This window comes from Homo sapiens, chromosome 10 (assembly GCF_000001405.40).
Source record: "Homo sapiens chromosome 10, GRCh38.p14 Primary Assembly".
Taxonomy (NCBI): Eukaryota; Metazoa; Chordata; class Mammalia; order Primates; family Hominidae; genus Homo; species Homo sapiens.
The window spans coordinates 73991508-74013361 of record NC_000010.11 but is presented as its reverse complement, the minus strand read 5'-3'; the positions used below and the strand labels follow the sequence as shown (position 1 = coordinate 74013361).

At 44.0% G+C, this 21854-nt stretch overlaps 1 protein-coding gene across 2 annotated transcripts in view, besides 8 other annotated features; it reads right to left on the bottom strand.

Annotated features, from left to right (window-relative positions):
- VCL (vinculin) overlaps positions 1-15246 on the bottom strand; it is a 123248-nt gene extending 108002 nt beyond the window's left edge. For both annotated transcript variants that reach the window (NM_003373.4, NM_014000.3), the window contains exon 1: positions 14987-15246. In NM_003373.4, coding sequence (NP_003364.1) covers positions 14987-15154 — 168 coding nt within the window. In that variant the 5' untranslated portion in view covers positions 15155-15246. The remainder of the gene's footprint in view (positions 1-14986) is intronic.
- Positions 8637-8931: a silencer, noted in NCBI's record as "tiled region #4496; HepG2 Repressive non-DNase unmatched - State 17:Gen3'". NCBI's record gives its function as "represses a minimal TATA promoter and a strong SV40 promoter by Sharpr-MPRA in HepG2 cells {active_cell/tissue: HepG2}" and the evidence as "EXISTENCE:reporter gene assay evidence [ECO:0000049][PMID:27701403]".
- Positions 14294-14945: an enhancer, noted in NCBI's record as "H3K27ac hESC enhancer chr10:75758175-75758826 (GRCh37/hg19 assembly coordinates)". NCBI's record gives its function as "activates a minimal SCP1, AML or CMV promoter by ChIP-STARR-seq in primed H9 embryonic stem cells {active_cell/tissue: H9 hESC(primed)}" and the evidence as "EXISTENCE:reporter gene assay evidence [ECO:0000049][PMID:30033119]".
- Positions 14294-14947: a biological region, named in NCBI's record as "H3K27ac hESC enhancer GRCh37_chr10:75758175-75758826".
- Positions 14898-14947: a silencer, noted in NCBI's record as "silent region_2499". NCBI's record gives its function as "represses an Ori minimal core promoter by ATAC-STARR-seq in GM12878 lymphoblastoid cells {active_cell/tissue: GM12878}" and the evidence as "EXISTENCE:reporter gene assay evidence [ECO:0000049][PMID:35858748]".
- Positions 15018-15217: an enhancer, noted in NCBI's record as "active region_3587". NCBI's record gives its function as "activates an Ori minimal core promoter by ATAC-STARR-seq in GM12878 lymphoblastoid cells {active_cell/tissue: GM12878}" and the evidence as "EXISTENCE:reporter gene assay evidence [ECO:0000049][PMID:35858748]".
- Positions 15278-15637: a silencer, noted in NCBI's record as "silent region_2498". NCBI's record gives its function as "represses an Ori minimal core promoter by ATAC-STARR-seq in GM12878 lymphoblastoid cells {active_cell/tissue: GM12878}" and the evidence as "EXISTENCE:reporter gene assay evidence [ECO:0000049][PMID:35858748]".
- Positions 19849-20132: a transcriptional cis regulatory region, noted in NCBI's record as "candidate enhancer chr10.2662 targeted for multiplex CRISPR interference". NCBI's record gives its function as "positively regulates VCL gene expression with high confidence in K562 cells {active_cell/tissue: K562}" and the evidence as "EXISTENCE:mutant phenotype evidence [ECO:0000015][PMID:30612741]".
- Positions 21149-21579: a transcriptional cis regulatory region, noted in NCBI's record as "candidate enhancer chr10.2661 targeted for multiplex CRISPR interference". NCBI's record gives its function as "positively regulates VCL gene expression with high confidence in K562 cells {active_cell/tissue: K562}" and the evidence as "EXISTENCE:mutant phenotype evidence [ECO:0000015][PMID:30612741]".

Below are 21854 nucleotides of genomic sequence, written 5' to 3'. Positions count from 1 at the left end.
ATTATCCCCATCTGCACCCCAGGACTCTGTGCCTAAATTTTTTTCACTCAGAGAACACAAATTAGATGGTCCTTTTGCATGCAATGCCCTGTGTTAAGCAATTATTTACAGCTACTTTCCTAATTGGCAGTTAAATTTCACCAAGATTCAACCACAGCCTGATATATATTTCTCCAAAGAAGCTTAAAACAGTTTTTGATCGCAGCAGAAAATGGCCTTCCTATTTGTTTATTGAACAAATACTTTACTCCACAAGGCAAGATCCTACTATATGCCAAGCACTATGATGGATACTAAAAATTCAGAGACAAACACAGCAGAGCCAATATTTGCCCCTGAGGCTCTGGTGGGGAGATATGTTAAACAGTGAATAATCACACAAATAATTAATTACAATTGTGATAAGCATAATAAGGAAAAAATATAGAAAGTACATGATAGAAGGGCCTAACCTAGCTTAGAGGTAGTCAGGGAAAGTGTCCCTGAAAAATGGACATTTACTATGAAAACTGAGAATTAGTAGAAATTATCCAAGTAAAGAACTACAGAAGAGTACATCAGGCAGAAGGAAGGCCAACAGGAAGCACTGTACTTTGGAGGAAACAAAAACCCAGTGAGTTTGGGCAGCCACAAGCAGAAAGCAGCTGAGGCCAATGCTCAAAGGTCTCTTCCTAACTAGGTGGCCCACCATCTCCTCACTCCTCTCATACCATACCAGTCTCGATCTGCTGCTGGCCTACTGTGTGTGTGTCACTCTTCCCCCACGTCCCTACCACTTCACATCTTCTCCATGACTCCAAAGAAGAAAAACCACTGTATTTGTAGTAGTTAACACACAACTCTTTAAGAAGAATAATATAAATTCTGCAACAATTATATTGGTGGAGAGGATGTGAATAAATCTTTTTTATAAGATTATTGATTTCATCTGTGTTTTAGGCAACTTGAGGCCAGAGACCATATCTTATATATCCCAACACCTAGCAATGTGCATAGCTGGAGTTTGACAAGTAACTTTACTATTTGGGGAGAATTGTAGAATGAGAAATTTAAGTGTTGCTGATCTACATTTTTTCTTATGAGATTTACTAGCCTATTCATATACCCTTATCTATTTTAATTGCAAGAATAAAAACATGTTATCCACCTGGTAGATAAAAGATGAGCCAGTTCTCCAGGGATGGAGAGAGGACAAAGAGAAGGCTGGAAACACAAGAAAGCTATATAACAAAGGTCCCTCAACTCTCAACTCTAACAACTGTGCCATTTCTTTCTTCACAGAAAGCTTACTCATGGGAATAACTTAAGCTTATTTCAAAAGAAGGAATGACTTTGACTTGGATGGTGGCCAGCTGTGGTAAGAAGTGCAGTGAAATTCAGCCACTTTCCCCTTAAAAGTCATTCAACTGGAAATTTTATCAGTGGGAAATTCTCTAAGGGCCAAAGACTCTATTTTCTGCAGCTTAACAACATTTGTAAAACATTTCGAGTTCTAAGATTCACCACCTCTCTCCTCTATACACACACCCCACACTTATGCCAATCCAGTGTGCTAACTTCTGATAGAAGTGACATGGAATTTTTTGGAATCTAAAAGTTCAAAATATGTACCCAACACAATATAATATCGTTTATGAATCTTTGTTTCTCTTTGAGACTGTATAAATATTTGGTACATAGCAACATTTGAGGGCAGGAAAAGAGAAACATCATGCCTTCCAGTGGAGGCAAGAGATAATCAGCTATCCTTATTATCATAAAATAACCTAAAATGACTAGCTGGTATATTAAATATCAGAACATAACACACTTAATTGAAGAACTACCATGAGCAGGGGACTATGGTAAACACAGAACCAATAATATGAAGAATAAAACCCACTCCTTGCCCTTCAGAAACCAACAGTCTAAAGGGAGACACCCTAGGAGAGTAGGGAGGAGAGGGGGAAGAAAATTCGATATGAAATCCATCATCCAAGGACTGATGATCCAGTATATGAGGACATAAAATCTACATTTACCAAGGGACTTGAAAGAAGGCAGTGAGTTCCCCATTTCCTACGTCTAATTATACAAGTTCCTTTTTACCTAACACTCTATCCCACTCTACCTCTTTGCATACATGCAATGCACATACTTAATTTAATCAATGGTTATTTGATCCCGTGTCTTTTTTTTTTTTTTTTTTTTTTTTTTGAGATAGAGTTTCACTCTTGTTGCCCACGCTGGAGTGCAATGGCGCAGCTAACTGCAACCTCTGCCTCCTGGGTTCAAACGATTCTCCTGCCTCAGCCTCCCATGTACCTGGGATTACAGGCACCTGCCACCATGCCCAGCCAATTTTTTGAATTTTTAGTAGAGATGGGGTTTCGCCATGTTGGCCAGGCTGGTCTCGAACTCCTGACCTCAGGTGATCCACCTGCCTCAGCACCCCAGAGTGCTGGGCTTACAGGCATGAGCCACCATGCCCAGCCCCCATGTCTTAATAAGTATGTTGGGACCAGAAGTTCTTTCAGGATGAGGCTCATTATCTTGAAGTTATTTCATTTCATATTTTCTGAAGCAGCAGTTTCCTGTCTACAGCACAGCTCCCCAGATGGCAGAGAAAGTCTTGGGGTATTTTAAGACAGTGGGTTTCCTCACCTTGCTTTGAAAATTCATAAGCAGGAAAGTGAACTAGAGATGGGTTTTGTTTTTGTTTGTTTTTTTTTTTAAACGGTGAAAAGGATAAGAGCTGGTGCATCTATATATAGTTAAATTTGTATTTATACCCAGAGAAACATAAATTGGTTTGGAGTAACAAGAAAAAATGATGCAAATCAAGTTCAAGTAGACAGAAATGAAAAAGGCTGAGAAATACTGACAGAAGATTGCAAATAAAGATAGATTTTCTAAATTTTCAACAATAAAAATGCATTATTTTGTAACAAGAAAAATTATTCTTTCAGACTATATGAAGACACAGCATGATAAAAAGTGATTACTAATAGTATACTGTTCAATAGTATTATTTTTTAATGCAATATGAAAACTAAAATACTTTGATAAAAATACAAAAGAACAAAATTCCCTACTTACATATTCTCAACTTCCTTCCCTAATAAATCTTTTTGTAACTTGTTAAGAAGAAAAAGGTAGGCTGGTGCAGTGGCTCACAGCCTGTAATCCCAACACTTTGGGAATCCGAGGCGGATGGATCACTTGAAGTCAGGAGTTTGAGACCAGCTTGGCCAACATGGTAAAACTCTGTCTCTACTAAAAATACAAAAAATTAGCTGGGTGTGTGGCGCATGCTTGTAATCTCGGCTACTTGGGAGGCTGAAGAGGGAGGATCACTTGAACCCAGGAGGCAGAGGTTGCAGTGAGCTGAGATCTCACCACTGCACTCCAGCCTGGGCAACAGAGCAAGACTCCATCTCAAAAAAGTAAAGAAAAATAAAAAAAAGAAAAAGGTGGCTGGCCGCAGTGGTTCATGCCTGTAATCCCAACACTTTGGGAGGCCGAGGGGGTGGTTCATTTGAGGTCAGGAGTTCAAGACCAGCCTGGCCAATAGGTGAAACCCCGTCTCTACTAAAAATACAAAAATTAGCCAGGTGTGGTGACGCATGCCTGTAGTCCCAGCTACTTGGGAGGCTGAAACAGGAGAACTGCTTGAACCCGTGAGGTGGAGGTTGCAGTGAGTCAAGATCATGCCATAGCCTGGGCAACAGAGTGAGACTCTGTCTCAAAATAATAATAATAATTAATAAATAAGGTAAGACAGCTTTCCTTTCCATAACAATTCCCAATAGAAACAGAATTAAAGCCGGGCGCGGTGGCTCATGCCTGTAATCCCAGCACTTTGGGAGGCTGAGGCAGGCAGATCACGAGGTCAGCAGATCGAGACCATCCTGGCTAACATGGTGAAACTCCATCTCTACTAAAAATACAAAAAAATTAGCCGGGCGTGGTGGCAGGCGCCTGTAGTCCCAGCTACTCGGGAGGCTGAGGTGGGAGAATGGCGTGAACCCGGGAAGTGGAGCTTGCAGTGAGCCGAGATGGCGCCACTGCACTCCAGCCTGGGCAATAGAGCGAGACTCCGTCTCAAAAAAAAATAAAAATAAAAAACAGAATTAAATACTAAAATGGCTCGGGGGGGGGGGGGGAAAGCAGCAGCCACCTAGACAATTTGAAAATTATTTCACCTGAACTTATGTGGCCCACTATATTCAAACATATACTGCAAGACTTCTACAGATCCAAGGTACAGGGAAAAGAAAGACACATGAAAGCTTTCAATGGGACGTCCTTCCTCCAATATATCAAATTTCTTCTCTATCTTTCAGTCTTATTACAGACTTGAATTTTCCCCCCCAAAAGCTAACTCTTAAGGATTTACATTATATAGCACTGAAAGTTGTTGAAGCTTAAAAATGCCAAGGCAGAAGTTTGTTTTTTATTCTAGTCCTATCTGTATGGAAAGGTTTAAGGGTTGACCTGCCTGAGAGCAACAAGAACTGACTGAATGGACCTTCCTCATCAAGAATTCTGACCAAACAGCATATTCTAGAAAGAAACATCTACAAAGAAAGCAGCTAATCTCTGATATTTGCTCATTAAAGACTGCTACTTCTTTTGATACTGCCCTAATGCTGGTTTATTATGTAAAAATACACCCCGCTGTCGGAACCATGACCTAAAGGTTTAATGAAAAGGCTGGGCCCAAATCAGCCAGAAAGCAAAAAAGCAGCAGATCAACTTTGTGATATCTTTGTCTCTTGCCATATGGTTCAGGGAAATAAAGATCCTTTAATGAGGAATTCTGACTCATAGTATGAGACTACATTGTAACCAGCAGGGCTCCAAATAATATATCAACATCTGGTCTAAATCATTAAATTTTAAAAAGGCACTCCCAAGAAGAGAATGCAAAATCCCAACGCCACTTTCAGATAGAAGGTAACATACTCTCACATTATGAATTTAGTAAGTGATCTGCATAGCTGAAATGACTCTGAAACAGAAAAACCACAACCCAAAATAGCCTGAACACTTTTGTTATCTCAAACAATGGGCAGTTAGCCATTCATTCCTCTTAGTATATATTTCACTTGTTTCAGTCAAAGCCCATTATAAATTCCATGAGATGGCTCAAATTTGACTATACCAGATATTTGACAGCTGGGGATGGGAAATATTCACTGTACGATAATTCCTAATATTATATGTTATAAATAAAAATAAATGCTATGCATATGTTCACTTAATTTAAAAATTTAGGCCGGGCGCGGTGGCTCATGCCTATAATCCCAGCACTTTGGGAAGCTAAGGTGGGTAGATCACCTCAGGTCAGGACTTCGAGACCAGACTGGCCAACATGGTGAATCCCCATCTCTACTAAAAATACCAAAAATTAGCCGTCCATGGTGGTGGGTGCCTGTAATTCCAGCTACTTGGGAGGCTGAGGCAGGAGAATCACTTGAACCCAGGAGGCAGAGGTTGCAGTGAGCGGAGATTGTGCCACTGCGCTCCAGCCTGGGCAACAAGAATGAAACTCCATCTCAAAAAAAAAGGAAAAAAAAATTTAGGCTGAGCGCAGCGGCTCATGCCTGTAATCCCAGTACTTCGGGAGGCCAAGGCAGGTGGATCACTTGAGGTCAGGAGTTCGAGACCAACCTGACCAACATGGTAAAACCCTGTCTCTACTAAAAATACAAAAATTAGCTGGGTGTGGTGGCACGTGCCTGTAATCCCAGGTACTCAGGAGGCTGAGGCAGGAGAATCACTTGAACCCGGGAGGCAGAGGTTGCAGTAAGCCAAGATTGTCCCACTGCACTGCAGCCTGAGCAACAGAGCGAAACTCCGTCTCAAAAAAAAGTATATTGCATACCTATAACCCGGAGAGGCATATTGTCCCTGCCACTGAGGAACCTACAACTTAGTGAGATGACAAACACTGAACAAGTATGAGTGTAATAACAGAGCATCTCCATGCTATGCTGAACTACAGGCTGTGGATAATGAGGATATTCCTATCCTACCCATTTCAAAGGGTGCAGTGAAAGACTGGGAAGTTGTCAGAAGGCTCTTAAAGTTACAATCCTGGCCAGGCACACTGGCTCACATCTGTAATCACAGCACTTTGGGAGGCCAAGGCAGGTGGATCACTTGAGCCCAGGAGTTCAAGAACAGCCTGGGCAACATGGCAAAACCCCATTTGGATATTTGTTTAAATACTACTAAAAATACAAAAATAGTTGGGCATGATGGTGTAAGCCTGTAGTCCCAACTACTCGGGAGGCTGCGGTGGGAGGATCAATGCCCAGTAGGTCGACGCTACAGTGAGCCCAGATTGTGCCACTGCACTCCAGCCTGAGCAGCAGAGCAAGATCCTGTCTCAAAATAAATAAATAAATAAAAATAAAATGACTATATATAAAACATAAACACTTCATAACTATATAAATGATGAGTAATTAAATAAGTACAGGTTAAATATCCCTTATCTGAAATGCTTCAGATCAGAAGTATCTCATATTTCAGATTTTTTTGGATTTGGGAATTTTTGCATATATATCATGAGCTATATTGGAGATAGGACCAAAGGTTAAACACAAAATTCATTTATGTTTCATATACACATAGCATGAAGGTAATTTTACATAATAGTTGTAATAATTTGTGCATGAAACAAAGTTTTGACTTCTACCTATCATGAGGTCAGATGTGGAATTTTCCACAAGTGGCATCACGTCAATACTCAAAAAGTCAGATTTTGGAGCATTTCAGATTTCAGATTTTCAGATTAGAGATACTCAACCTGTGTATGAAATAACCAGGCTAGTTTGTTTTTAAACAAATATCTAAGAAATAGTAAAATTCAAATGAGTCCTATAAAAGTAGTTTGTCCTACTGTTGTCCTTACTCCAGGACTGTAACAGGAGGACCCAATCTAAGCTACTGTTGCTGATACCAGAGGACTTTTGCCCTCTTACTTTGTCCATTTAGAGTTATACCAGCTCTATTTATAAAACAGCTTTAGAAAAGCCCAATTTTCCACTGTGTGGATGTAAACAAACATTTAAGTTGTGGTTCCATTAAAATTTAAACATAGCTATAGCCCTGCATATCCTTGAGTTCCACATCTATGGATTCAACCAACTGGAGATCAAAAATATACAAATACAAATAAAAATAGGCCGGGCACAGTGGCTCACACCTGTAATCCCAGCACTTTGGGAGGCCGAGGCGAGCGGATCACCTGAGGTCAGGAGTTCAAGAGCAGCCTGGCTAACAAGGTGAAACGCTGTCTCTACTAAAAATACAAAAATTAGCCAGGCATTATGGTGGGTGCCTGTAATCCCAACTACTCAGGAGGCTGAGGTGGGAGAATCTCTTGAATCTGGGAGGCAGAGGTTGCAGTGAGCTGAGATCGTGCAATTGCACTCCAGCCTGGGTGAAACAGCGAGACTCTGTCTCAAAAAAATAAATAAATAAAAATAAAAATAAAAAACAATACAACAATAAAAATAAAAATTAAAAAAACAGTATAACTATTTATAACATTTACATCATATTAGGTATTACAGTATAAGTAATCTAGAGATGACAAAGTATACAGGAGGATGTGCATAGGTTATATGCAAATACCATGCCACTTTATGTAAGTAACTTGAGTATCTGCAGATTTTGGTATCCGAGGGGGGTTCCTGCAACCAATCCCCCATGGATACCGACGGATAACTGCCCATCTCCAAAAATCTTCTGTTCTCTCAGTCACATGAGTAAATGTTAAAAATGATTGGAACAAAATATATCTCTGTCTCTGGCTGGGTGCAATGGCTCACACCTGTAATCCCAGCACTTTGGGAGGCCAAGGCGGGTGGATCACATGAGGTCAGGAGTTTGAGACCAGCCTGGCCAACATGGTGAAACCCCATCTCTACTAAAAATACAAAAAATTAGCCAGGCGTGGTGGCACACGACTGTAATCCCAGCTACTCAGGAGGCTGAGACAGGAAAATCGCTTGAACCTGGGAGGCAGAGGTTGCAGTGAGCCAAGATCGCACCACTGCACTCCAGCCTGGGCAACAGGGCGAGACTGCATCTCAAAAAAGAAAAAAAAGAAAAATACATATATCTATCTATAGATATAGATATCTGTCTCGTTCTTACATCTCTTTTGATGTAGCAACAGCTTTACAAATGAAACTTCATGATTCCCCAAGTAATCTACAAAGTTATTTTACATACGATTTCATTCTAACAGGCTTCAAGCTAAGCAGGCACATATACCACAAAAACTCTTCATCTGTTTTGCAGGCATACTTTTGTGCTGATCTGTATCTACTCTAATTTCTCAAAAAAGAAATGCTGTGGATCAGGCGTGGTGGCTCATGTCTGTGACCGCAGCACTTTGGGAGGCCGAGGAGGGTGGATGGCCTGAGGTCAGGAAATCAAGACCACCCTGGCCAACATGGTGAAACCTAGTGTCCACTAAAAATACAAAAATTAGCCAGGCATGGTGGTGCATGCCTGTAATCCCAGCTACTCGGGAGGCTGAGGCAGGAGAATCGCTTGAACCCAGGAGGCGGAGGTTGCGGTGAGCTGAGATCGCACCACTGCACTCCAGCCTGGGCAAGAGAGTGAGACTCCGTCTCAAAAAAAAAAAAAGAAAAGAAAAGAAATGCTATGAAATTGGGTGTGGCTATGAAACAAGCTTACCTTCACATCATTCTTCTCATATAGGCCATTCATGCAGGCTATGCTAAAGCCAGGCTCTAAACAGATACTGTTGCCAGACCCAGGACAAATGGAACCTCTATGACTAACAGCATTCCTGTTGCTTCTGATTCTAGGTGGGAAACCTCCACTGATATTTAACAACTTTGCTCTAAGTAGATGTGGAATGGTGGTGTGAAAAAAAGCAGAGGATCTGGAACAACAGACCACAGTTCAAGTCCAGGTTAACCAGCTGTGCCACTGTGGGCAGGTTACTTAATTTATCTGAACTACAGTATCCTCCCTCATCTGTAAAACGGAGACCACCACTATACCTACCCATAGACTGCTATGAGATTATAAATATAAAAGTATTTTATGAGCTATAAATGATCACATAAATATTCTTTTTATTTACTCTATTTTTTCCTTAGCATAGGAATTATATATTAATTTTCAAAAATTGGAAAATACAGAAATATATTAAGAAGAAAAAAATCACCCACCCAAACACTGTTATTTACTTAACTGAAATAAAGTCTAATATCAACCAAATTTTAAAGCAAAAATATTTTCAGATGTTAATACTGATAATTACAAATGACAAAATTAACTGCTGATCTCCTTTTAAGATCAGAGTAGGCTGGACACAGTGGATCATGCCTATAATCCCAGCACTTTGGGAGGCTGAGGCAGCAGTATTGTTTGAGGCCAGGAGTTCAAGACCAGCCTTGGAAATATAGTGAAACCCTATCTCTATAAAAAAAATTTTAAATTAGCCAGGCATGGAGGTGCACCCCTGTAGTCCCAGCTACTAAGGAGGCTGAGGTGGGAGGATCTGTTGGGCCCAGGAGTTCGAGGCTGCAGTGAGCTATGATCACACCACTGCACTCCAGCCTGGGCGACAGAGCGACTCCATCTCTAAACAACAACAAAACAAGAGCAGAGCAGTCTTTCCCATTTATCAGTGTAAAGTGAAGATAATACTGCTATTTGTCCCAGAGCTGGTCCCAAGAACATATGATATACAAGTGAGGCCCATAAAAGTCAAGGCCACAAAAAACTCCCAAAATAAATATTTCATGAGCCCAAGGAGTACTTACAACACATGCTCTCAGATGCACTGGAGAAAGCAAAGTATCTGAAGCCCCATTAACAAAACTGGCATGACTATAATGTCACATCACAGACTGACACATTTCTATGGGCCATTTTAATGAAAAAAAGAAAAATTTATATACCATGCTACAAAGTACTCAGTCTAAGACTTGTGACTTTTTCACACTGCCTGCTGAATCCAAGCCTTCTTAGAATTTCTTGTGCCCTTCTCCTATTTTTCCTTTCCCACCCTTCCCTTGACTACCTCCTCTTCCTTGTTTCATTATTGAATTGGACTCACTCTCTGTGTTTAAAACTGCCTTAAATAGAGTTTTAAGTGGTACATGCCTGTAATCCCTGCTACCTGGGAGGCTGAGGCAGGAGAATCACTTGAACCCGGGAGGCAGAAGTTGCAGTGAGCTGAGGTCACGCCACTGCACTCCAGCTTGGACTACACAGTGAGACTCTATCTCAAGATAAATAAATAAATAAATACTCCCACCCTACCCCCTCCCTAATTGTGGAGTAAAAGTGATGACCCAGTTGCAAATTTTATATATATATTTATATATATATATCAGTGACCAGACTACTTTGCTTAGCAAATATACATGAAATTACAAATCCTAATGAGTTCTGCCCCCATAAAAGTAAGTAATGTCTTTCTTTTTTTTTTTTTTTTTGAGACAGAGTCTTCCTTTGTCACCAGGCTGGAATGCAGTGGCAAGATCTCAGCTCAGTGCAACCTCCACCTCCCGGATTCAAGCGATTCTCCCGCCTCAGCCTCCCGAGTAGCTGGGACTACAGGCGCGTGCCACCATGCCCAGTTAATTTTTGTATTTTTAGTAGAGACGGGGTTTCACCCTGTTGGCCAGGATGGTCTCCATCTCTTGACCTCGTGATCAGCCCGCCTCGGCCTCCCAAAGTGCTGGGATTACAGGCATGAGCCACCATACTTGGCCAAGTAATACCTTTCTTACCACATCTCTAAATATTCAAATCCTATCTGTCTTTAAGACCCAACTCAATGTTATATCCTCTGTGAAGCCTTCCCTGATTCTCCAATCAAAAGTAATCTCGTCTTCCTCTGACTTTCCATCATACTCTGTTTCCTCAGTGCCACTTAAGATTTCCAATTCAGCCGGGCGTGGTGGCTCACGCCTGTAATCCCAGCACTTTGGGAGGCCGAGGCGGGCGGATAACCTGAGGTCAGGAGTTCAAGACCAGCCTAACCAACATGGAGAAACCCCGTCTCTACTAAAAATCCAAAATTAGCCGGGCGTGGTGGCACATGCCTGTAATCCCAGCTACTAGGGAGGCTGAGGCAGGAGAATCACTTGAACCTGGGAGACAGAGGTTGCGGTGAGCCAAGATCATGCCACTGCACTCCAACCTGGGCAATAAGAGCGTAACTCCATCTCAGAAAAAAAAGACTTCCAATTCAGTATCATACTGATTGTGACAGGCATCACACTTATTGCTTTGACATTGGAAGGGGTCTCAATAAACACCTGCTTGATAAGTGAATGACTATTACAACAATTGAAAATTTCATCTTCATCTAGTAAATTTTAATTATGGAAATATCCAAAAGTCATTTAGGCTCAAGAACAGTAAATGAAGTAGTTGAGCTCAAGAATGCCTACTTCAGTCAAAATGTACACTTTCTTGACCAAAATAAGACTAATTTGGCATACGTATGTAAATAATCTGAAAGAAATTCCCAAAGAAAAGCACTAGAATAAGGATATAACCTCCCAAAGTAACTCCCAAGAAATACTCACCCAGATTACATAAATTCCAGAAGATTTGTTCTAAAATCAGTTTCATTATTTTACCGTAATACTATGTTTCTTTTCTAGCAAATTCAGAGTTCAATTATCCAGTTCTATTATTTCTTCTTCTAATATATTTCTGATTAATTCCTTCTCCATTTTCCCTGCCACTCGCAAGTCCAGGCCTTCATTTTCTTCATAACCAACCAATTTTAAAAGCTTCCCAATTTGTCTCCCTTCCCATAGTTCCTTCAACAATATTTATTGAGTGATCCTATGTGCCAATTTTGAGGGCAGGAACTGAGGACCATATAAAGAAATATCAGACCAGGCACAGTAGCTCACAACTGTAATCCAGCACTTTGAGAGGCCAAGGCGGGAGGATTGCTTGAGCCCAGGGATTCGAGACCAGCCTGGGCAACATAACAAGACCCTGTCTCTATTTAAAACCAAAATAAAATTTTTTAAAAAGAGAGGAATATCAGACAAGGCTTGACCTCCAGGAACAATCTTGAAGCATGTACAGAATCCACATATTTAACGGTCACAGTTGGCACCAAGAATGTGAAGCAATGGGTAGGTCCTCTGGCCTCCCCAAAACACACTATACTATTCTCACACGCCATTCTCACGCAGTCTTTCTCACACACTATTCTCATCCTCCTTCCCCTCCTGCTCTCTTTGTTCATCCTTTTGGATAAGGCCTATGTTACACTGCCCATATGTCACGCACTAACTTCATCTCCAATTTCTCTCCAACTTGTCTCCTGAGCTGCAATCAAGATAATCTACTTGCTGTAACCTGGAAGTGACTTACTCACAAGTACCTTTGTTCATGATTAACTATTTATCAGCACAATCCTCCCTACTTTGTCTCTGCTAACCCATAGCTACCACCAATCTCAAGTCCCCTCTTTTGTATGTGTTGGAAAGTATATAACTTAACTACATATCATTGTTTTCATCTTATAACCTTATTTCTTTTGTATTTGTCTCACAGTGTGTATTACAGTGTTTCCTAACTAAGGCCGTATATCACAATCACCTATGGAGCTTCCTAAAAAATACGAAGGCCTGGCCGGGCACAGTGGCACATGCCTGTAATCTCAGCACTTTGGGAGGCCGAGGCGGGCAAATCACAAGGTCAAGAGATGGAGATCATCCTGGCCAACATGGTGAAACCCCGCCTCTACTAAAAATACAAAAATTAGCTGGCCACGGTGGTGCGAACCTGTAGTCCCAGCTACTCGGGAGGCTAAGGCAGGAGAATCACTTGAACCTGGGAGGAGGACGTTGCAGTGGGCCCAGATCGTGTCACTGCACTCCAGCCTCGTGACAGAGGAAGACTCCATCTCAAAAACAAACAAACAAACAAACAAACAAAGGCCTTCAGCTACTTGGGAGGCTGAGGTGGGAGGATTTTTCTCAGTCCAGGAGATGGAGGCTGCAGTGAGCTATGATCACGCCATTGCACTCCAGCGCCTGCGTGACAGAGCGAGACCCTGTCTCAAAAAAAAAAAAAAAAAAAAGCAAAATACAAAGGCCTTGACCCGTGGGAGCTGGACATCTTAATTTCTAAAAAGCCTCACTGATGATTTTCATGAACACTCTTAAGCTGAGAAGCACTGATTTATTGCAGTGTTTTCCATATAGCAGACATTCAATGCTTATTAATTCATGGCATGGAAGCCCATAAATAACTTTTCTCTAAATAGCCTAACCAGATATCAACCCCTAGACTACACTAGCTCTGTTCCAAGTGCAACATGTGGTTTTAAGATTTCATTTCCTGAAGTACTACATGGAGAGACACTATTACCTTGTCTCTTTACATTGTTTCCTATTTGTTGAAAAATGGAGGCCTGGAATGCAGCCATGTTAGACAACACTACATAAGAATGTACTCTGGAGTGTTCTGTTCAAATTAGTTATAAAAAGAAGAACAATGTACAAGTAGACATTGTGAATGAATACAGCATTCTTACTGAATGAATAGATTCTTACTAAAGCTATAGAGAAGAAAGATCAGGAATTTGGTCGGTGGTGTCACCCTGTCTTCCTAGCTACCAGTCTCCTAAATTGCTTGAGACAGTCCAGGGACCCCTGAAGACTGAGGAAGACTTTCAGCTGCTAAAGAGCCTCTAAGTGCACTAAAGTGCTCAAATCAGAAAAGTAACCCAAGCCCCACCCAGACAGACCCACAGTTGCCGCCCAACTGCCCTGACACACACTATTTACACAGCTCAGTGGGGGAGCAGTATGAACTTTTTCCAAAATTGTTCCTCACAAGCAGGACCAGTCTGAGTCACCCACCCAGGGTGGGAAAGAAAAGTGTGACATTAGCCAGGGGAGTCTTGGGAGACTGGTCTCAGCACCTCTTTTTTCCCATTTCAGACGTGGGCTCCACCTCCTCCAGGAATCACCTCGGTTATGAGTCACAGCTGTGGGTTACAGGGGTCTGCAGAGCCACCAGGAAAGTTGTGGATGGGGAGCGGATGCCCCAGCCTTCTCTCCGGCAGGGGCGGCAGATCCCAGATTCCACAGGCCTCTCCCAACAGCTCCATCTTGCTTCCTGCCAGGAGGAGGGGCCAAGGAGGGCCCCCGAGTCTAGAAAGGCCCCAGTGGGAGGAGGCCGTTTGACAGCAGGTAACGCCAGGTGAAAATGTCCACAGGAGGGAATGAAAGGAAGGGCAGCAGGGCTGAGCGGAAGGAAAAACCGGGCTTGTGGTCACGAATGACTGCATAAAGGTGTGAGAGTGCCAGAGGAGTGAGCATAAGTAAAATGCCCAGGAGGGAGGAGGAGGCGACAGAGAGTGAGGCAAGTGAATAAAAGGGCGGAATACAGGGAGCTCTGGGGAGCGGGGGTGGGCGAGGCGGGTCTCAGGGTGAGGGGCAGAAGTATTAGAAAGGAGGACAACGTGGCTCAAATAAGGATCCCTAGAAGAGAAGGCAAGGGATCCGTGGGAAGGCCCGCTCTCCCTCCCCCGCACAGCCAGATCGAGGAGGCCTAAAAGGCGCTGAGAGCGAGGAAGTCAACGTGGGGGCGAAGCCTGCGCGGGGCAGGGACCCTCGGACATCCCAGCAACTCTCATTTATTGGGTGTCTGCTGTGGGCCACACGCCGCGCGAGGCACTCCACGAATAATACCTCGCCATATCTTCACGACAAGCCCGCAAGGCAGCCTTTTTCATGACTGCTCCCATTTTATAGATGAGGACACTGAGGCCCGGAGAGGCTCAGGACTCGCTCAAGGTCACAGGGCGGAGAAGAGGCCATTCGAACCCTCGGCGCCTGGCTCCGGAACCCACGCGGAAAGCCACGGCCAGCGAGCCGGCCACAGGCAGCCGCGACGCGGGCCGGGGCCCCGGGGATACCTCCCGCGCCCGCTCCCGCGCCAGGCCCTGCGCGCTCACCCGGACGAGGTTGCTGACGGCCGCCTGCACGGCGGCCACGGGCGCGGTGAGGTCAGGAATGGCTTTGCCGTCCACCTCGCCCTCCTCGTGCATTATCACCAGGTGGGAGATCTGCTGTGCCACCGGCTCCAGGATGCTCTCGATCGTGCGCGTATGAAACACTGGCATCGCGGCGGCGAGCGGGGCGGCGAACCGCGGGCGACAGAGAAGTAGGATCCACGGGGCCGGGAACCGGCGAAGAGACAGACTGTGCAGCGACTACGGAGTCGGGGCTTCCCTCGGCGTAACCAGCCTCACGGGCTCCCCGCCCCCTCTCGTCGCCGCGCCCAATGGCAGCGCAGCTCAGACCTGGGCCGCCACTCCTACTGGTCCCTTTTCGAGATGCTCCGCCCCAGCCACCGCGCCGCCAAACCCCGCCCCTCCCCCATTCCTAAGGGAGGGGCCTGGGATTGGGGCTGAGCCGCCGGGATTGCTACCGGATTCCCGAGCCCTAACGCCGGGCGCTCCTTATAAGGGCATGGTGGGAGCGGAGCGGGCCGCTGGAGCCGGCTGGTCCCGCCCCCGGGCCGCCTCCCGCCTCGGATCTGGGGGGCTCCGCCCCTCTGCAGAATCACCTCAGCGGGGCGGGGTCTCCTCACCTCAAGCGGCGCTAGAGTTTGATGAGACCAAGGGGTCTCCCACGTCCCCTCCTCAACTTTTCCCTTCACACGAAACCCTCAAAATACTCCTTCCATTCCCTCCCAGCAATGCATGGGAAGGTTTTTAGTAAAAGATTCAAACAGCAGAGGTGCACTGAGAAACAGCAGCGTCCCATTCACGTAAACGCAGACTCCGCCCCCTGCCCTCCTCAAAGACATTCTGTTTAACAGCTGGGTGTGTAGCCTTCTAGACTTGTCTATAGATTCACTTCTACATATATATTTTCTAACTAAATGAGATTAATAAACATTTTCCTGGAACTAGGTATGATTGCCCTTGATTAAAATGCCCTTATCTTTCACTGCTGGTAGAGGTCTACCTCATTCTTCTTAATGACTGCATGATATTCCATTGCATGAAATAAAACTATTTACAGAACCAATTTCCTACTCATGGACTTGGGTTGGGTCCTGGTTTTCACTATTAAAAAACAATTCTGCATGAATTGTACTTACCCCTGTGCTGTGCATCTGTGTATTTATCTAGCGCAAATGCCTACCAGGAAAGAGAAAAACGCAAAAGTATATGCATTTTATATTTTGATAGGTAAGACCAAATTATCCAGTTCCCTCACGCTTTGTATAAGACATCTTCCAGGCCGGGCGCGATGGCTCACGCCTGTAATCCCAGCACTTTGGGAGGCTGAGGCGGGCGGATCACGAGGTCAGGAGATCTAGGCCATCCTGTCTAACACGGTGAAACCCCGTATCTACTAAAAATACAAAAAAAATAGCCAGGCGTGGTGGCGGGCGCCTGTAGTCCCAGTTACTCATGAGGCTGAGGCAGGACAATGGCGTGAACCCGGGAGGCGGAGCTTGCAGTGAGCGGAGATCGCGCCACTACACTCCATCCTGGGCGACAGAGCAAGACTCTGTCTCAAAAAAAAAAAAAAAAAAAAAAAGACATCTTCCAAACGTCTTACTTACTTCAAATTCGCTTTTGCCCAAGCTTTCCCATTCTGAGGTAAACACTTTCAGTAATGCCTCCAAGCAAAAGATTCTCACATCAAATGAAAATTTTTGTCTAGTCCTACCACAACCACCACAGCTGTTTTCTCTGCCCATTACTTTGTGTTAATAGTATAAATATTTGGGTGATGGGGCCAGGCACGGTGGCTCACGCCTGTAATCCCAGCATTTTGGGAGGCTGAGGCAGGCAGATCACCTGAGGTCAGGGGTTCAAGACCAGCCTGGCCAACCTGGTGAAACCCCGTCTCAACTAAAAATACAAAAATTAGCCAGGTGTGGTGGCAGGTGCCTGTAATCCCAGCTAATCGGGAGGCTGAGACAGGAGACTTGCTTGAACCTGGGAGGTGGAGGTTGCAGTGAGCTGATACCGTGCCATTGCACTCTAGCCTGAGCAACAGAGTGAGACTCCCTGTCCAAAAAAAAAAAAGTTGAGTGATGGAACGATATGATTTTTTTATTTTAAAAATTATTTTATTTTATTTATTTTTATTTATGTTTTTATTTTTTGAGATAGGGTCTCACTCCGATTGTCCAGGCTGGAGTGCAGTGGTGTGATTTCGGCTCACTGCAGCCTTGACCTCCCCAGGCTCAGGTGATTCTCCCACCTCAGCATCCCAAGTAGCTGGGACCACAGGTGCATGCCACCACGCCCGGCTAATTTTTGTATTTTTGATAGAGACAAGGTTTCGCCATGTTGTCCAGGCTGATCTCAAACTCCTGGACTCAAGAAATCCACCTGCCTTGGCCTCCCAAAGTATAAATGGCCTCCCAAAGTATATATAGCCTCCCAAAAAGTGTATGATTTTGTTAAATCCTCACCCTGTCCCCACTTTGCTGATTGTATATTTATGTGTAGTTTAACTTGTTCTTCTGAACTATATATTTCCTACAGATTGGCAGGAAGACTCAGAGGCTTGATCATGTAATCATCTTTAATGCCTGACTGGCCATATTAACCTCCCAAAAAGAATATCACATTGCACATCCAGCCCATGTGCTCCCCAACATCCATAATCATACCCATTTCCGTCCCCCTGATTTCCACATTCACTGGCTCCCTCTAAAATCTTTCTTGGTGCCTGTTAGCATGTGTTAACACCAATGCCCTCCACAATCTGGGTCCAGACCAACCTTACTGCCTTCAGCTTCCCCACCTTAGACCCACAGACAGGCAGGTTAAACAGTGCAAACAGCATAAATTCAGAGCCATCCAGAGCTCAAGCCAGAACCCCAGCTTCACAACTTGATGGAGATATAACTCCGGCAAGTGGGATAATAGCACCGTCACAGAGCTGATGTAAGGGAATTTGTAAAGCACCTAGGAGACCTTCAGTAAAAGAAACCATTATCATTATTAGAGCAGTCACAAACTGACATATTCACAGTCTCCAGAAATTCCTGGTAGAGTTTCACTTTTGAGCTTTTCTCCACATTTCTTTCCCACCTAGAAAGCTATCAGTGCTTGTCTAACTCTTACCTATTGTGGTAGACAGAATTCTAAGATGTCCCCCGGGATTTCTCACTCCGAATATACACACTCTCCATAATCCCCAGGCTGTGACTATAAGGGATTTTACTTTCATAATCAGATTACATTATATAGCACAGTTGGTCTTAAAACAGGGAGATTATCCAAGTGGGCTTGACCTAATCACATGAGCTCTTTTAAAGCAGAGAGTTTTCTCTGGCCAGTTACAACAAATGAACTCAAAAGCACAAGAGGATTTGATGAGCTGTTGCTAGATTAAAGACGTGGGAGGCCATGGGTCAAGGTATGTGGGCAGCCCCTAGGAGCTGAGAGTGGCCCCTGACAGCTAGCAAGGAAACGGGGAAGTTGGTCGCACAGTTACAAGGAGCTGAACTCTACCAACAAGAAGAATGATCTTGGAAACAGATTTTTCCTCCAGCTGAGAGCTCCAGGGGACACCTTGTTTTCAGTCCAGTAGACACCTTTATTTCAGCTTTGCGACACTGAGCAGAGAACCCAGTCACACCATGCAGGACTTCTGACCTACACAGTTGTGAGATAATAAATGAGTGTTGTGGCCAGGCGCGGTGGCTCACACCTGTAATCCCAGCACTTTGGGAGGCTAAGGCGGGTGGATCATGAGGTCAAAAGATCGAGACCATCCTGGCCAACATGGTGAAACTCCGTCTCTACTAAAAATACAAAAATTAGCTGGGCATGGTGGTGCGTGCCTGTAGTCCCAGCTACTTGGGAGGCTGAGGCAGGAGAATCACTTGAACCCGGGAGGCAGAGGTTGCAGTGAGCTGAGATCATGCCACTGTACTCCAGCCTGGTGACAGAGCGAGACTCCGTCTCAAAAAATAGTAATAATAAGGCCGGGCGTGGTGGCTCACGCCTGTAATCCCAGCACTTTCGGAGGCCGAGGCGGGTGGATCACGAGGTCGAGAGATCGAGACCATCCTGGCTAACACGGTGAAACCCCGTCTCTACTAAAAATACAAAAAATTAGCTGGATGTGGTTGCGGGCACCTGTAGTCCCAGCTACTCGGGCGGCTGAGGAAGGAGAATGGCGTGAACCTGGGAGGCGGAGCTTGCAGTGAGCGGAGATTGCGCCACTGCACTCCAGCCTGGGCAGTAGAGCGAGACTCCATCTCAAAAATAATAATAATAATAATAAAATAAATAAAAATAAATGAGTGTTGTTTTAAGCCTCTAGGTTTGTGGTGATTTGTTCATAACAATAGATCACTGATATACCTACCTTCAAGGTCCACTTTCAGTTCTTTCTTTATGATTTCCCACAGCAAGGCCCTGGCATGAGCTGCTTGTACTAATCCTTTTAATTGTCCTTTTCTGACATGATCATTTTACATTTCTCTCCTATGATACAGGCTGCTAGATGTCCTCCAATATATCCGTTCTGCTTTTCCTCCATAGTAATAGAACCCCAGATGTATGTGGGCACTTAGCCACATGGTTCTCATTTGACACTTGAAAAATTACAAATCTGGTTTCTAATGTCTAAAGTGGGGATAATAAAGTTTTCAGTCTCACTAAACATAGCACAGATTATTAAGGACTGAAATGTTACCATGGAAAGAGAGAGGTCAGTTCATTGCACGGGCTAGACTAAGGAATCATCATGAAACTAAGTTGCAAATATGTGGCAAAGAAGGTGTGATGCTCAAATTCCAAGCAGGAGGAGATCCCCACGGGCCTAAGGGTAAGAAAGAGTCTATGGGACAGTGGAACTAAATCTGCCCTCAAAGGAAGAATAATGTTTGGTTAGGCAGGCAAGAGGGCAGACATTTCAGAATGAACAAGGCAGGAGGTGGGCGAATGTTCCAGATCAGTGATTAGTCAGACTGAAGTGAATGTTCATGCAACTCAAAGATAAGGAAGAAAAGGGAAATTGCTACAGGATTATAAGCTACAGAGGTAAAGGACTGTATGACATTTACTCTTGATTGTGGCTAGCTCGACATTACTCTTTACCATGTAATTAGTTTGGAGACCACTAATGTTAGGGAATGTTGTAAGATATGTAAAAAAAAAAATTGCATTTCTTTTTTTCTTTTTTTGAGACAAGGTCTAGCTCTGTCACCCAGGCTGGAGTAAACAGTGGTGTGACCACAGCTCATTGCAGCCTTGACCTCCTAGGCTTAAGCAATCCTCCAACCTCAGCCTCCCGAGTAGCTGGGACTACAGGTGTGTGCCGCCATCACACCCAGCTAATTTTTTTTTTTCAATAGAGACAAGGGTCTCCTATGTTGCCCAGGCTGGTCTCAAACTCCTGGGCTCAAGCAATCCTTCCATCCCAGCCTCCCAAAGTGTTGGGATTATAGGTGCGAGCCACCAAACTTAGCATTTCTAAATTAGAAATCATTGGGGAAGAATTTTTGATGGTAGCAACTCTATTACACATGGCTTCATGACATGGGTAACTTTCTATTGTTTTAGTCTGTAGCAATTCTCTGAGGTATGTAGAAAACAAGAAGTACAGCTCTTTCATATACAGACTGGGAAATTGAGACATAGAAGCCACTGTCAGTCGTAAGTACAATTTGTGAATTCTTTTTTCTTTGAAATGGAATCTTGCTCTGTCGCCCAGGCTGGAGTGCAATGACATGATCTTGGCTCACTGCAACCTCCACCTCCCAGGTTCAAGCGATTCTCATGACTCACCTCTTGAGTAGCTGGGATTACAGGCACCCGCCATCATGCCCGGCTAATTTTTGTATTTTTGTAGGGACAGGGTTTCACCATGTTGGCCAGGCTGGTCTTGAACTCCTGACCTCAGGTGATCCGCCCACCTCAGCCTCCCAAAGTGCTGGGATTACAGGTGTGAGCCACTGGGCCCAGTCCAATTTGTGAAAAGTTTAATCCAGGATAGAGCTGGTTATAAAACCTGAGACTTCTATATTTAGTTGGGATGCTCAGTGTCTCTCTAGGTTTTGGGGCTCTCCTTTTGCCTCATTTTTGGACTGCTGAGTATCAGTTGTATGGCTAGATTTACTTACATCTTTCCATACACTCCAATACACTTTGTGCCCGCATGAGTGAACCTGTAACACACACCCACACAGACACAGACACACACACACACACACACACACACACTGCATTCTCCAGCTCATCACGGATGAACCTTCTCTATCTAGACCACTATGGCAGCCTCTTCCCCACGTGAACCACACAGCGGCTTCGTTAGTAGCTCTTCCTTCCTCTCTCCAAATGCTGACATGTACACCATGCCCCACCCTCCAAACACCACGCCCCACCCTCCACCTCCACCCAAAACCACAACCATTTCCCCCATCACTTTGAATTGTGGTTCTTCTCTTTTCTTGACCAATTTTTTAAAATTCAACATGGATTTAAGTAATTTTCAACTTCATACATTTTCCAATTTTTTTAATTGTACACTTTTTTATTGTATTTTAATCTGTGTTGTGTGAGAAAACTACAAACAAGACTATTAACATTATGTAAAATTCCAGCTCCTAGAGATGACTACTATTAACATTTTAATGTATTCTCTTTCAGCCTTTTTCCTGTTCATCTGTATTTTGTGTGTGTGTTCAACTTTTTTCCCATGTGATTTTTACTGAGATCTTTTACATACCATAAAATTCACCCCTTAGAAGTATAGTGTTCAATTTTTATTCTTGCTATTTTCACCTAAATATATCAAGAGCATATCCTGTAATTGCAGCTACTTGGGAGGTTGAGG